At 44.9% G+C, this 15,866-nt stretch overlaps 1 protein-coding gene and 1 pseudogene across 1 annotated transcript; both read left to right on the plus strand.

The window, feature by feature from the left end:
- LOC124904792 (zinc finger protein 480-like) lies at nt 29-13,878 on the plus strand. Its single transcript, XM_047439805.1, has 5 exons — nt 29-190; nt 6,944-7,070; nt 7,877-8,008; nt 13,555-13,735; nt 13,875-13,878. The coding sequence occupies exons 1-5, from the start codon at nt 164-166 to the stop codon at nt 13,876-13,878; spliced, it is 471 nt and encodes a 156-aa protein (XP_047295761.1). The 5' UTR covers nt 29-163.
- On the plus strand, nt 13,908-15,431 carry LOC100419845 (zinc finger protein 415 pseudogene; annotated as a pseudogene).

A 15,866-nucleotide genomic window follows, 5' to 3' on the forward strand; every position in this document is an offset into this window, starting at 1 on the left:
CCAGTCTCCGCTGCGAGCGGTTTTCTGTAGACCCGGAAGCGGATCGCGGGGAGTGAAGGCTGCGCCGCCGAGCCTGAGTTTCGCTCTCTCTAGATTAAATCTGCGCTTCGCAGTCCCCCTTCTTCCATCCCCCGGGTCTGGAGGGGTCCCTACAGATCTTAAAATGACCACACCGCGCCCTCCACCCCAGGTAAATTCTGACGTTGCTGTGAGAATGCGGAGATCGCTTTCCCTTTGGGTTAAAGTCGCTCTAAGCCTACTTCCTGAATCTGGTCTTTCTGCTTTGCGCTAGGTAAACATGGCCTTTCGTGTCTTTTGCTGCCTAAAATCCTTTACCGATTTTTCTTCCCGCCACGCGGGAGGGCACTTTTTTTTTTAAGACGGAGTCTCGCTGTGTCGCCCAGGCTGGAGCGCAGTGGCGCGATCTCGGCTCACTGCAAGCTCTGCTTCCCGGGTTCACGCCATTTTCCTGCCTCAGCCTTCCAAGTAGCTGGGACTACAGGCGCCCGCCACCACGCCCAGCTAATTTTGTTGTATTTTTTTTAGTAGAGACGGGGTTTCACCCGTGTTTGCCAGGATGGTCTCCATCTCCTGACCTCGTGATCCGCCCGCCTCGGCCTCCCAAAGTGCTGAGATTACAGGCGTGAGCCACCGCGCCCGGCCGGGAGAGCACTTTTTAGAGCCCTCACCTGCAAGGTGGATTCAGGTCTATCCGGTTCTCCAAGACCTGCCCTTGTCGGCCCCTGGTGCGCAGCGCTGCAGCCTCAGTCCGGAGGGGCCGCGTCCTTACTTGGTTCTGGGATTCTGCAGACCCCACCCCTGTCCTAAGGTGCCACCTTTGTCTTTCTCACCCGAAATCTTTCTCAGGAAGGGCCTTCAGCTCCCAAGCCCCTCTAGGCAGTCACCTCCCATGGTGGGAAGGTGAGCTGGGCTTGTCCTGTGACACTCATGGTGGAGGAGGTGACCTAGGCCTGTTCGGTGACACCCAGTATGCTTTTTTTTTTTTTTTTTTTTGAGAATGAGTCTCCCCCTCTGTTACCCAGGCTGGAGTGCAGTGGCGCAACCTCAGCTCACTGCAACCTCCACCTCCCGGGTTCAAGCGATTTTCCTGCCTCAGCCTCCGGAGTAGCTCGGATTACAGGCATGTGCCACCACGCCCGGCTAATTTTTGTATTTTCAGTAGAGTCGGGGCCACCATGTTGGCCAGGCTGGTCTCCAACCCCTGACCTCAGGTTATCCGCCCGCCTGGGCCTCCCAAAGGGCTGGGATTACAGGCATGAGCCACCGCGCCCAGCCAACATATAACACTTCTGACAGCAAATGTGTGGGAGTTTTTTTCCCACACACTAGGCAATTCTCCAGTATACACCAGTTGCGTGTCCTATAATTCAATTCAATTCTGACACTGTGCGCCTGGAGTTAGAGTCAGATCCAACAGGTTAAGGTCTTAGTCCCACAAGACCACCCCCCTGCCCCCCCGCCGCCACTTCAGACGTCAGTCAAAAGTAATAGGTTGTCACCTGTCCTTAAAACTGACCTATATATTGGGGCTCCCATGACTCCCTCTTTGGGTTTGATTAACTTGTGAGGACAGCTCACAGGACTGCTGGAAGCACTTACTTATGTTTACTGATTTTTTGTGCAGTCATTTCTCACTTCATGTTTTCTACAGGTTCTTGGAAACCGGGTCATGAATGAAATGATATACAGCAGGTCCTCGAATAACGTTGTTTTGTTCAATGTCATCATTATCATTATTATTATTATTATTATTTTGAGATGGAGTCTAGCTCTGTCACCAGGCTGGAGGGCAGTGGTGCTGTCTCCGCTCGTTGCAACCTCCACTTCCCAGGTTCAAGTGATTCTCCTGCCTCGGCCTCCTTAGTAGCTGGCATTACAGGCATGTGCTGCCATGCCCAGCTAATTTTTGTATTTGTAGTAGAGACAGGGTTTCACCATGTTGGCCAGGATGGTCTCGATCTCCTGACCTCTTGATCTGCCCACCTTGGCCTCCCAAAGTGCTGAGATTACAGTGTGAGCCACCGCACTTGGCCATTCGATGTCATTTTTTATGTAGATGAGGAAAAAGGTTGCCATTTCACTTAAAGTTCCGGTTTCCAAGAATCTATTGATAACATCAAGTGAGGATTTGGTGTATTAATGAAGGATATCATAAAAGATACCCATGAGCAGCCAGATGAAGAGATATGTATGGTGAGGTCTGAGAATGTTCTAAGCACAGGAGCTTCTGTCCTTGTGGATTTGGGTGCACCCACCCTCCTGGCATTCAGATGTGTTTATCAACCAGAAAGCTCTCCGAAGTCTATAGATCAGGAACTTTTATCGAGGCTTCATCCTGTAGGCATGAGAGATTATTAACTCAGTCTTCAGCATGCTCCACTCTTTGGGAAATAAGTGATGGAGCTGAAATCTCCAAGCTTCTAATCATGGCTTACTCTTTCTGGCAACTGGCTCTATCCAGGAGCCCAAGACTTGCCTCATTAGAACAAAAACACTCCTATCACGTAGGAAATTCCAAGGGATTTAGGAGCTTTGTGCAAGGACCCGGGGTCAAAGACCAAATATGAGAACCAAAGATTCTCCTAACACCCCTTTCTGTGAGGGGTTTAGGATCTATATCCCAGGAACCAGGGGCAGAGACCAAAAATATATTTCTTGTTATTTCACACTCCCTCTGAGTGGAGCTCAATCCTGGTTTGACTTGAGAGTACTGAGTCGTTTTGCAAATAAAACTCTTGTGCCTCTTTACCTGAGTTTTCCATTCATGTAATGGGGTTGGAGTCCAGCCTTGACAGTAGTGATGTTACCCCAGCTGATTCTAATCTGTCCAGCATTGATACTGAGGCTCTGTGTCCTCCATTTCTTTTTTTAAAATTTTTTAGATGGAGTCTCACTCTGTCACCCAGCCTGGAGTGCAATGGGGCAATCTCGGCTCGCTGCAACCTCTGCCTCCTGGGTTCAAGCGATTCTCCTGCCTCAGCCTCCCTAGTAGCTGGGACTACAGGCACGTACCACCATACCCGGCTAATTTTTGTATTTTTAGTAGAAACGGGGTTTCACCATGTTGGCCAGGCTGGTATCGAACTCCTGACTTCAGGTAATCCGCCTATCTCGGCCTCCCAAAGTGCTGGGATTACAGACTGTTTCCTCCATTTCTGAGGCCTCAGCTCAGCCTGGGATCCATAGGGATGTGAGGGCGGCTGTGCTCTGCATGAGGTTTGCTCAAGGCCAGGTGTGCACCCTGAAGGGGAGCTCAGTCCAGCCCAGCTCCCCACCGCTGCAGCGTGCGTGTGGGCCTCTCTAGGAGGAGAGTGGGTTCTGAAGAAAGGGGTTACAGACTCACCTGTTGGTCTTCCTACAAGTTTCTTTTTCCTACAAGTTTCTTCTTCCTACAAGTTTCTTTTTCCTCCTGGTGCAGTCGGTGGCAGAGGACTGTCTTTGCACGGGTGTCTTCCCTGTGTGTGTGGTCGTGGCACAGGAAGGGGGTGTGTTAATTCTAGGCATTAAATAACTTCTTTTTCACATTCCAGATTAACCTTTAAAGACTCATGTGGCCTGAGGAAGAAGTCCAGAAGAGAAGAAAGAGGAGACAGGGATGGCTCTTTCTCAAGTAAAGTGATATTCTTGGTGGATTGTTCTGTTTCCCCCTTTTTTTTTTTTTTTGGAGACAGAGTCTTGCACTATCGCCTGGGCTGAAGTGCAGTGGTGTGATCTTGGCTCACTGCAACCTCCACCTCCTGGGTTCAAGCGAGTCTCCTACCTCAGCTTCCCAAGTAGCTGCAATTACAGGTGCCCGCCACCATGCCCAGCTAATTTTTTGTATTTTTAGTAGAGACAGGGTTTCACTATGTTGGCCAAGCTGGTCTCCAACTCCTGACCTCATGATTCACCCGCCTCGGCCTCCCAAACTGCTGGGATTACAGGCGAGAGCCACCGTGCCCAGCTTGTTCTGTTTCTCTTTCCTTTCTGAAATTTCATTCTTTGGAGTTGCAAATCTTCTTTGAGTCTGAAGCATCCTGCCTGACACGTTTGTTCGCACTCACCCGTGCCTTCCCTCAGTCCCTCTCATTTCACTTAGATTCCATTGCCTGTGACCCACTGATGTGAACTTGGGACGAGGCCCCACTGGGCATGGTCCTGGGAAGGGCTCACACCCATACATGGATGGACACGGCATGTGAGCCCCGTAGTGTTAGGACTGTTAGGCAAGAGGGATTGTTTAGCGGCCACATCTGGATGCACTGTGAGGTCTCTGTGGACCAGGAGTAGAGAAGCTGCACATGGAAGTCATGTACTAATGCGCACAAGTACCTGGTAATTCCAGAAAAGGAGGCTGATGAGGGGAATTCTGGCACATTGTTTGTCTGATTTAAGAATACATTCGAAGATAAATACATGAATCTGTATGTTTTTGGCTCCAGAATTGTTATGATTTGGAATGGAATGGAAAGTTCAGAAACACCTTAGTGAGGGGAGGGTGTTTTATTCTAGCACTGATTTGTTCTCTTTTTTGAGATGGAGTTTCGCTCTTGTTGCCTGGGTTAGAGTGCGATGGTGTGATCTTTGCTCACTGTAACCTCCGCCTCCCAGGTTCAAGCGATTATCCTGCCTCAGCCTCCCGAGTAGCTGGGATTACAGGCATGTGTCACCATGCCCGGCTAATTTTGTATTTTTAGGAGAGACGGGGTTTCTCCATGTTGGTCAGGCTGGTCTCAAACTCCCAAACTCAGGTGATCCATCCGCCTCGTCCTTCCAAAGTGCTGGGATTACCGGCGTGAGCCACCACGCCTGGCTCCACCAATTTTAAAATATGAAATCAATCTAAATCTCTTTTTTTTTTTTTGAGACAAAGTCTCACTCTTGTCCCCTAGGCTGGAGTGCGATGGTGCGATGTTGGCTCACTGCAACTTCCGTCTCCTGGGTTCAAGTGATTCTCCTGCCTGGGCCCCCTGAGTAGCTGGGATTACAGGTGCTTGCCACCACACCGGGCTAATTTTTGTATTTTTAGTAGAGATGGGGTTTTACCATGTTGGCCAGGCTGGTCTTGAACTCCTGACCTGAGGTGATCCACCTGCCTTGGCCTCCCAAAGTGCTGGGATTACAGGTGTGAGCCACCGCACCCGGCCAGAAAACAATCTAAATCTCTAACAGAAGGAGATTCTTTACGTCATTTTCAGCACATCCTTCTCTTGGAGGTTGCTTTTCAGCCTCTTGATTCTTTCTTTTGATGCAGAGATGTTTGTAAGTTTGATGTAGTCCCATTTGTATATTTTTGCTTTTCTTGCCTGTGTCTTTGGTGTCATATCTTAGAAATGACTGCAAAATTCAGTTTCGCAAACCTTTTCTCCTACACTTTCTTCTAGGAGTTTTATCATGTTAGGTCATATGTTGAGGCTTTTAATTCATTTTTCTTTTTTTTTGTTGTTTGTTTTTGTTTTTTGTTTTTTTTGTTACCCAGGCTGGAGTACAGTGGTGCGATCTTGGCTCACTGCAGCCTCTGCCTCCCGGGTTCAAGTGATTTTCCTGCCTCAGCCTCCCGAGTAGCTGGGACTACAGGTGCCCGCCATTTCACCACGTTGCCCAGGCTGGTCTCGAACTCTTGACCTCAGGTGATCCTCCCGCCTCAGCCTCCCAAAGTGCTGGGATTACAGGCGTGAGCCACTGCGCCCAGCCTAAATATTTAAATTTAAATGGATAGAATTTTATTTGTAGTTTGACTATAACTATTTCATAGGGATTGGAGTTAAAGTTTTAAATATTTTTTTCATGTTTTTACCATTCTTTTATTGGCATTATATAACATAATGTTGACAAACTAAGTTAAATACAACTTATACACTTTACTGTCCCCAAGATGCTGAAATGCACATGAGGAAAAATGATAATGAAAAAGTCATAAAAAGTATGTCATTGAGAGGCATGTTTTCTCTTTGTTAATTTACATTCGTGTATATATGTGTGCATGAATGTATGGATGAACTATCCTATGGCGTTTATAGACGACACATCACCATTTCATAAATCAGTTCCGTATTTTTATTTTTTTATTTTATTTTATTTATTTATTTTTTTGAGACGGAGTCTTACTTTGTTTCCCAGGCTGGAGTGCAGTGGTGCGATCTCGGCTCACTGCAACCTCTACCTCCTGGTTCAAGTGATTCTCCTGCCTCAGCCTCCCGAGTACCTGAGATTACAGGTGTGCACCACCACGCCCAGCTAATTTTCGTATTTTTAGTAGAGACGGGGTTTCACCATGTTGGCCAGTATGATATCAATCTCTTGACCTCATGATCACCAGCCTTGGCCTCCCAACGTGCTGGGATTACAGACGTGAGCCACCACGCCCGGCCACACTTTTTAGATTCTGACCTTTCTTTCTTTAAAGACACCATGGACATTGTCATCTCTGAAGACAACACACTTCTTCCAGCTCCTCCAGATACTGAATATCACTTTGTGTGTCAAACATAATATCTAGCACTTCTATAGAGATAGCTGTGTGTTGACTATTTATTTCTACGTTTCTTCCATTGTCTACAGAAAGAGAAATCCACACTTATTTAGAAGATATCATAAGCTCTTACAGAAGAGTATAATAAAATGCAATTAGGGAGACATACCTAATGTTCTTCCTAACGTCCCTAAATGCCCCAAAATACCTTAGCATGGATCTGCCAGAACTCTCCCTTCAGTAAATCAATACAATTCTCTCTTTTTCTCATTTTATGTAAAGATGATAACTCTCCCCCATGTGCTTGGTAAAATGTGTTTTTCAGACACGGTTTGCCTGAAAATACCTTTCCATGGATTTCCCAGAACGTTCATTTAAACTAAATTGACTTATACCTCTCTTTTTGTCATTTTGTGTGAAGATAATAGCTCTCCCCATGACTTCTTGGTGAAATGTGTTTTTTCATATCAGGGAAGGTTGACATTCAGGGACGTGGCCATCGAATTCTCTCAGGAGGAGTGGAAATGCCTGGACCCTGCTCAGAGGGCTTTGTACAGGGACGTGATGTTGGAGAACTACAGGAACCTGGTCTCCCTGGGTGAGGATAATGCCCCTCCAGAAGCTGGGATCTGCTCTGCTGTATCTCTGCATGTTCCCTGTGTGCCTCTTGGGAGCCCCTGCATTGCTCAATTAAGACTGAAGCTATGTTAATTCTCAGATGAAAAGCTTAATAGTGCAGCATCTGGACTTAATTATCCCATTTTCAAATGATCTACCTCCTTCAAGATATATCATTGGTGGTTCCAGAGCTTAAGTAGAAATAAACCCTATGGTAGACTTTAAAAATATCTACTTTGGGCCAGCGTGGTGGCTCACGCCTGTAATCCCAGCACTTTGGGAGGCCAAGGCGGGTGGGTCACCTGAGGTCAGGAGTTTGAGACTAGCCTGGCCAACATGGTGAAACCCCATCTCTACTAAAAATACAAAAAATTAGCCAGGCGTGGTGCCGAGCGCTTGTAATCCCAGCTACTTGGGAGGCCAAGGCAGGAGAATCACTTGAACCCGGGAGGCGGAGGTTGCAGTAAACCGAGATCGCGCCACTGCACTCCAGCCTGGGCAGCAAGAGCGAAACTCCATCTCAAAAAAAAAAAAAAAAGAAAAAGAAAAAGTAAAAAAATCCACTTTGCTCTTTTCTGCCCCTTTGCTTGTGATTCAGTACTTCCTAGAGGACAGTTCGATGTTCGTATTTTACCATGTTCCCTAAACATTCAGAAGGAGGCATTCAGTGGGTGAATTTGTGAAATATTTTTCTAGATCCATTTGTAATGTCCTCTTTCCTCCTCTAAACAAAGGGCTGGGATTCTGTAAAAGCCACAGCACATTACATGCCTTTCTTTTTCTAAGCAGGAATCTCTCTTTCTGAAATGAGTATTACCTCCATGTTGGGGCAAGGGAAAGAGCCCTGGACTGTGGAGAGTGAAGTGAAAATAACAAAAACATCAAGTGGTTGGGAATGCATCAAAGGTGTGAACACAGGTAAGAGCTCAAATGGACAGAGAGGAAGCTGCACCATTAGTATTCAGGTAACTCCTTCCGAGTTGAAGAGTTCTGTGGAACAAAAAGGGTTTAAATCCTGTGAGCTCTCAATGGAAACCTTTCTTTGCCCTCATTTATCCCTCTGCTCTTCTGACGTGTAGTAGTTTATCCTTTCACACTCCCATGGCGCTACAGCTCCAACAGTGACAAAGGCAAAGTCTTTATCATGATGGACAACACCCTGTCATGTGGCTTCTGTGACCTCTTTGGTTTCTTCACTCTGAGGGGCACAGGGAGGGTTGTGTCCAAGAGGTCTCCTGTGATCTCTCCTGTACCTGACTGCGTCTGATGCTCAGTTCTCTGTCTATACAGATCAGAGCTGAGGCCTCCATGGACCTGCCCCCTTGACCTATTCAGGTTTTGCCCCATTTCCTGTACTTGGGAGACCTAATCAGGTGACGGGAAAACATTGGCAGCTCCTCCTTTGCATCTGGGGCTCCGGAAACCTCATGGTGCTGTCTCCAGCCCTGTCTGTCTGTCAAAGTCTTTCAGCCTCAGTCATTTCTTCTGTTCTGCTTTTGCCACAGATTGCAGTGTGCGCCACAGGGGAGTACACGGGGTTTTCTGAGATTGTTTACTCAGGTCTGGAATGGCACTAGACAGAGAGGTCCTCTTTTTTTTTTTCTTCGAGACAGAGTCTGGCTCTCTTGCCCAGGCTGTGATGCAGTGGTGAGATCTCAACTCACTGGAACCTCTGCCTCCCAGGTTCAAGTAATTCTCTTCCCTCAGCCTCCTGAGTAGCTGGAACTACAGGCACATGTCACCACACCTGGCTAATTTTTGTATTTTTTTAAAAATTATTATACTTTAAGTTTTGGCATACATGTGCAGAACGTGCAGGTTTGTTACATAGGTATACGTGTGCCATGGAGGTTTGCTGCACCCATCAACCCGTCATCTATATTAGGTATTTCTCCTAATGCTATCCCTCCCCTACCTCCCCATCCCCTCCACAGGCCCTGGTATGTGATGTTCCCCCTCCCTGTGTCCATGTGTTCTCATTGTTCAACTCCCACTTATGAGTGAGAACATGCAGTGTTTGGTTTTCTGTTGTGTTAGTTTGCTGAGAATGATGGTTTCCAGCTTCATCCATGTCCCTGCAAAGGACATGGACTTATCCTTCTTTATGGCTGCATAGTATTCCATGGTGTATATGTGCCATATTTTCATTATCCAGAAACTAATATTTCTGGATAATGGGCATTTGGGTTGGTTCCAAGTCTTTGCTGTTGTGAATAGTGCCACAATAAACATACGTGTGCATGTGTCTTTGTAGTAGAATGATTTATAATCCTTTGGGTATATACCCAGTAATGGGATTGCTGGGTCAAATGGTATTTCTAGTTCTACATCCTTGAGGAATTGCCACACTGTCTTCCACAATGGTTAAACTAATTTACACTCCCACCAACAGTGTAAAAGCATTCCTATTTCTCCACATCCTCTCCAGCATCTGTTGTTTCCTGACATTTTAATGATCAGCATTCTAACTGGCATGAGATGCTTTCTCATTGTGGTTTTGATTTGTGTTTCTCTAATGACCAGTGATGATGAGCTTTTTTTCATATGTTTCTTGGCCACATAAATGTCTTCTTTTGAGAAGTGTCTGTTCATATCCTTCGCATAGATGTTCATGAGGGATATTGGCCTGAAATTTTCTTTTTTTGTTGTGTGTCTGCCAGGTTTTGGTATCAGGATGATGCTGGCCTCATTAAAATGAATTAGGGAGGATTCCCTCTTTTTCTGTTTGGAATAGTTTCAGAAGGAATGGTACCAGCTCCTCTTTGTACCTCTGGTAGAATTCGGCTGTGAATCTGTCTGGTCCTGGACTTTTTTTGGTTGGTAGGCTATTAATTACCGCCTCAATTTCAGAACTTGTTATTGGTCTATTCAGGGATTCGACTTCTTCCTGGTTTAGTCTTGGGAGGGTGTATGTATCCAGGAATTTATCCATTTCTTCTGGATTTTCTAGTTTATTTGTGTAGAGGTGTTTATAGTATTCTCTGATGGTAGTTTGTATTTCTGTGGGATTGGTGGTGATATCCCCTTTATAATTTTTATTGCATCTATTTGATTCTTCTCTCTTTTCTTCTGTATTAGTCTGGCTAGTGGTCTATCTATTTTGTTGATCTTTTCAGAAAACCAGCTTCTGGATTCGTCTATTTTTTGATGGATTTTTCGTGCCTCTATCTCCTTCACTTCTGCGCTGATCTTAGTTACTTCTTGTCTTCTGCTAGCTTTTGAATTTATTTGCTCTTGCTTCTCTAGTTCTTTTAATTGTGATGTTAGGGTGTTGATTTTAGATCTTTCACGCTTTCTCTTGTGGGCAGTTAGTGCTATAAATTTCCCTCTACACATTGCTTTTAATGTGTCCCAGAGATTCTGGTATGTTGTGTCTTTGTTCTCATTGGTTTCAAAGACTGCCTTCATTTCATTATTTACCCAGTAGTCATTCAGGAGAAGGTTGTTCAGTTTCCATGTAGTTGTGCAGTTTTGAATGAGTTTCTTAATCCTGAGTTCTAATTTGATTGCACTGTGGTCTGAGAGACGGTTTGTTATGATTTCCATTCTTTTGCATTTGCTGAGAAGTGTTTTACTTCCAATTATGTGGTCAATTTTAGAATAAGTGCGATGTGGTGCTGAGAAGAATGTATATTCTGTTGATTTGGGGTGGAGAGTTCTGTAGATGTCTATTAGGCCTGCTTGGTCCAGAGTTGAGTTCAAGTCCTGGATATCCTTGTTAGTTTTCTGTCTCATTGATCTGTTTAATATTGACAGTGGGGTGTTAAAGTCTCCCACTATTATTGTGTGGGAGTCTAAGTCTCTTTGTAGGTCTCCAAGAACTTGCTTTATGAATGTGGGTGCTCCTGTATTGGGTGCATATATATTTAGTATAGTTAGCTCTTCTGGTTGCATTGATCCTTTACCATCATGTAATGCCCCTCTTTGTCTCTTTTGATCTTTGTTGGTTTAAAGTCTGTTCTATCAGAGACTAGGATTGCAACCCCTGCTTTTTTTGCTTTCCATTTGCTTGGTAGATATTCCTCCATCCCTTTATTTTGAGTATATGTGTGTCTTTGCATGTGAGATGGGTCTCCTGAATACAGCACACCGATGGGTCTTGACTCTTTATCCAATTTGCCAGTCTGTGTCTTTTAATTGGGGCATTTAGCCCATTTACATTTAAGGTTAATATTGTTACGTGTGAATTTGATCCTGTCATTATGATGCTAGCTGGTTATTTTGCTCATTAGTTGATGCAGTTTCTTCATAGTGTCGATGGTCTTTACAATATGGTATGTTTTTGCAGTGGCTGGTACCAGTTGTTCCTTTCCATGTTTAGTGCTTCCTTCCTTATAAGGCAGGCCTGGTGGTGACAAAATATCTCAGCATTAGCTTGTCTGTAAAGGATTTGATTTCTCCTTCACTTATGAAGCTTAGTTTGGCTGGATATGAAACTCTGGGCTGAAAATTCTTTTCTTTAAGAATGTTGAATATTGGCCCCCACCCTCTTCTGGCTTGTAGAGTTTCTGCCAAGAGATCTGCTGTTAGTCTTAGGGCTTCCCTTTGTGGGTAACCTGACCTTTCTCTCTGGCTGCCATTAACATTTTTTCCTTCATTTCAACCTTGGTGAATCTGACGATTATGTATCTTGGGGTTGCTCTCCTTGAGGAGTATCTTTGTGGTGTTGTCTGTATTTCCTGAATTTGAATGTTGGCCTGTCTTGCTAGGTTGGATAAGTTCTCCTATAATAATATCCTGAAGGGTATTTTCCAACTTGGTTCCATTCTCCCCATCACTTTCAGGTACACCAATCAAATGTAGATTTGGTCTTTTCACACAGTCCCATATATCTTGGAGGCTTTGTTCATTTCTTTTCACTCTTTCTTCTCTAATCTTGTCTTCTCACTTTATTTCATTAAGTTGATCTTCAATCTCTGATATCCTTTCTGCTGCTTGATCAATTCAGTTATTGATACTTATGTATGCCTCATGGAGTTCTCATGCTGCGTTTTTCAGCTCCATCAGGTCATTTATGTTCTTCTCTAAAGTGGTTATTCTAGTTAGCAATTCATTTAACCTTTTTTCAAGGTTCTTTTCTTCCTTGCATTGGGTTAGAACATGCTCCTTTAGCTCAGAGGAGTTTGTTATTACCCACCTTCTGAGGCCTACTTCTGTCAATTCGTCAAACTCATTCTCCTAGTTTTGTTCCCTTGCTGGTGAGGAGTTGTGATTCTTTGGAACAGAAGAGGCATTCTGGTTCTTTTTGTGCTGGTTTCTCCCCATCTTTGTGGATTTATCTACCTTTGGTCTTTGATATTGGTGACCTTCAGATGGGGTCTCTGAGTGGATGTCCTTTTAGTTGATGTTGATACTATTCCTGTTTGTTAGTTTTCCTTCTAACAGTCAGGCCCCTCTGCTCCACGTCTGCTGGAGTTTGCTGGGGGTCTACTCCAGACCCTGTTTGCCTGGGTATCACCAGCAGAGACTGCAGAACAGCAAAGATTGCTGCCTGTTCCTTCCTCTGGAAGCTTCATCCCAGAGGGGCACCCGCCAGGTGCCAGCCAGAGCTCTCCTGTACGAGGTGTCTGTCGGCCCCCTACTGGGAGGTATCTCTCAGTGAGGATACATGGGGGGCCAAAGACCCACTTGAGGAGGCAGTCTGTCCTTTATCAGAGCTCAAACGCCGTGCTGGGAGATCCGCTGCTGTCTTCAGAGCTATCAGGCAGGGACGGTTAAGTCTGCTGAAGCTGCTCCCACAGCCGCCTCTTCCCCCAGGTGCTCTGTCCCAGGGAGATGGGGGTTTTATCTATAAGTCCCTGATTGGGGCTGCTGCCTTTTTTTCAGAGATGCCCAGCCTAGAGAGGAGGAATCTAGAGAGGCAGTCTGGCCGCAGTGGCCTTGCTGAGCTGTGGTGGGCTCTGCCCAGTTCAGACTTTCCGGCAGCTTTGTTTACATTGTGAGGGTAAAACCGCCTACTCAAGCCTCAGCAATGGCGGATGCCCCTCCCCCCACCAAGCTCAAGTGTCCCAGGTCGACCTCAGACTGCTGTGCTGGCAGTGAGAATTTCAAGTCCATGGATCTTAGCTTGGTGGGCTCCGTGGGGGTGGGACCCCCCAAGCCAGACCACTTGGCTCCCTGGCTTCAGCCCCCTTTCCAGGGGAGTGAACAGTTCCGTCTTACGGGTGTTCCAGGTGCCACGGGGGTATGAAAAAAAAACTCCTGCAGCTAGCTCGGTGTCTGCCTAAACGTCCACCCAGTTTTGTGCTTGAAACCCAGGGCCCTGGTGGCGTAGGCACTGGAGGGAATCTCCTGGTCTGCCGGTTGTGAAGACTGTGGGAAAAGCACAGTATCTGGGCCAGAGTGCACCGTTCCTCATGGCACAGTCCCTCACAGCTTCCCTTGGCTAGGGAGGGAAATCCCCCAACCCCTTGCACTTCCCTGGTGAGGTGACGCCCCACCCTGCTTTCTCTTGCACTCTGTAGGCTGCACCCACTATCCAACCAATTCCAGTGAGATGAAGTGGGTACCTCAGTTGGAAATGCAGAAATCACCTGCCTTCTGTGTCGATCTCGCTGGGAGCCGCAGGCCAGAGCTGTTCCTATTTGGCCATCTTGCCAGCAAATCCCTAATTTTTGCATTTTTAATGGAGATGAGGTTTCACCATGTTGGCCACCTGGTCTGGAACTCCTAACCTCAGGTGATCTGCCTGTCTTGGCCTCCCAAAGTGCTGGGATTACAGGCGTGAGCCACTGCACCCGGCCGATATATTTTTCAATATGAACTACTGATTTGCCAACTGTAGTTAATAGAAAACCTGTTTTTTAAATATCTTGTAGATGTCTCTCCTACACATATGATCAAGGAATTACCACCAAAAGAGAACAATAGCACAGGAAAAGTATTCCAAGCAGTGATGTTGGAAAGACATGAAATCCATGACATCCAAGATTTTTACTTCAGAGAAATGCAGCAAAATATTCATGACTTTGAGTGTCAGTGTCACAATGATGAGAGAAATTACAGAGAAATACCTGCAATTAAAATTAAAAACATCACTGGAAGAAGAGATCAAGGTGATGGAAGGAATGCAGGAAATAAGCCAGTTGAAAATCAGCTTGAACTAAGCTTTTGGTTGCATCTGGCTGAACTGCAGGGATTTCAAATTGAAAGGAAAATTTATGAATGTAATCAAATTGAGAAGTCTGTCACCCGTGGGTCCTCAGTTTCATTACTTCAAACAAATCTTCCTTGTGTCAACACCAGCATTTCTAATATATACAGGAATGATTTTATGCATCCTTCATTACTCACACAAGACCAGAAAGCATACATTAGGGAAAAACCTTACAAATGTAGTGATTGTGGCAAGGCCTTTAATCAGAGGTCCAACCTTACTACACATCAGAGAATCCATACTGGACAGAAACCACATAAATGTGACATATGTGGCAAAGGTTTCAGGCGAATTGCAAACCTAGCAAGTCATCATAGAATTCATACTGGAGAGAAACCTTACAGATGTAATGAGTGTGGCAAGACCTTCAATCAGACGTTCAACCTTACTACACATCAGAGAATCCATACTGGACAGAAACCATATAAATGTGATAGATGTGGCAAAGGTTTCAGGCAAATTGGAAACCTAGCAAGTCATCATAGAATTCATACTGGAGAGAAACCTTACAGATGTAACGAGTGTGGCAAGACCTTTAACAGGATGTTCCACCTTACTAGACATCAGAGAATCCATACTGGACAGAAACCATATAAATGTGATATATGTGGCAAAGGTTTCAGGCAAATTGCAAACCTAGCAAGTCATCATAGAATTCATACTGGAGAGAAACCTTACAAATGTAGTGATTGTGGCAAGACCTTTAATTACAGGTCCCACCTTACAAGACATCAGAGAATCCATACTGGACAGAAACCGTATAAATGTGATACATGTGGCAAAGATTTCAGTCAAAATTCATACCTTGAAAATCATCAGAGAATTCACACTAGAGAGAAATCTTACAGATGTAATGAGTGTGGCAAGACCTTTAATAAGATGACCAACCTTACTACACATCAGAGAATCCATACTGGACAGAAAACATATAAATGTGATATATGTGGCAAAGGTTTCAGGCAAATTGGAAACCTAGCAAGTCATCATAGAATTCATACTGGAGAGAAACCTTACAGATGTAATGAGTGTGGCAAGACCTTCAATAGGATGTTCCACCTTACTAGACATCAGAGAATCCATACTGGACAGAAACCATATAAATGTGATATATGTGGCAAAAGTTTCAGTCAAAATTCATACCTTGAAAATCATCAGAGAATTCACACTGGAGAGAAAACTTACAAGTTGTAATTAGTGTGGCAAAGCCTTTAGCGTGCGCTCAAACCTAACTAAACATCAGGTCATCCATAATGGAGAGAGACCTTATAAATGTAATGAGTGGGACAAGGCTTTTTTTTCAGAGTTCAAAATTGTAAAACATCACAGGATTCATTCTGGAGAGAAACAAAACAAAAGTAATGAATGTAGTAAGGCATTTATTCAAAATTCAAGTCTGGTGGACCATCAGAGAACTCACACTGGAGAGAAACCTTACAAGTGTAATGAGTGTGGTAAAACCTTTATTGGGCATTCAAGCCTAACTAACCATCAGGTAATTCATACTGGAGAGAAACCTTACAAATGTAATGAGTGTGGAAAGGCTTATGTGAAGTGGTCCCACCTTAGACATCATGAGAGTATTCAAACTGGAGAGAAGCCATACAAATGTACCAAATGCAG

This window comes from Homo sapiens, chromosome 19 (genome assembly GCF_000001405.40).
Source record: "Homo sapiens chromosome 19, GRCh38.p14 Primary Assembly".
Taxonomy (NCBI): Eukaryota; Metazoa; Chordata; class Mammalia; order Primates; family Hominidae; genus Homo; species Homo sapiens.

Excerpts from the sequence above, each read along its gene's own strand:
- LOC124904792 (XM_047439805.1), top strand. The coding sequence starts at position 164 with ATGACCACACCGCGCCCTCCACCCCAG. Across the intron at positions 7,071-7,876 it reads CAGGAACCTGGTCTCCCTGG|CAGGAATCTCTCTTTCTGAA; the intron begins GTGAGGATAATG and ends TCTTTTTCTAAG. Across the intron at positions 8,009-13,554 it reads CATCAAAGGTGTGAACACAG|GCTGCACCCACTATCCAACC; the intron begins GTAAGAGCTCAA and ends TGCACTCTGTAG.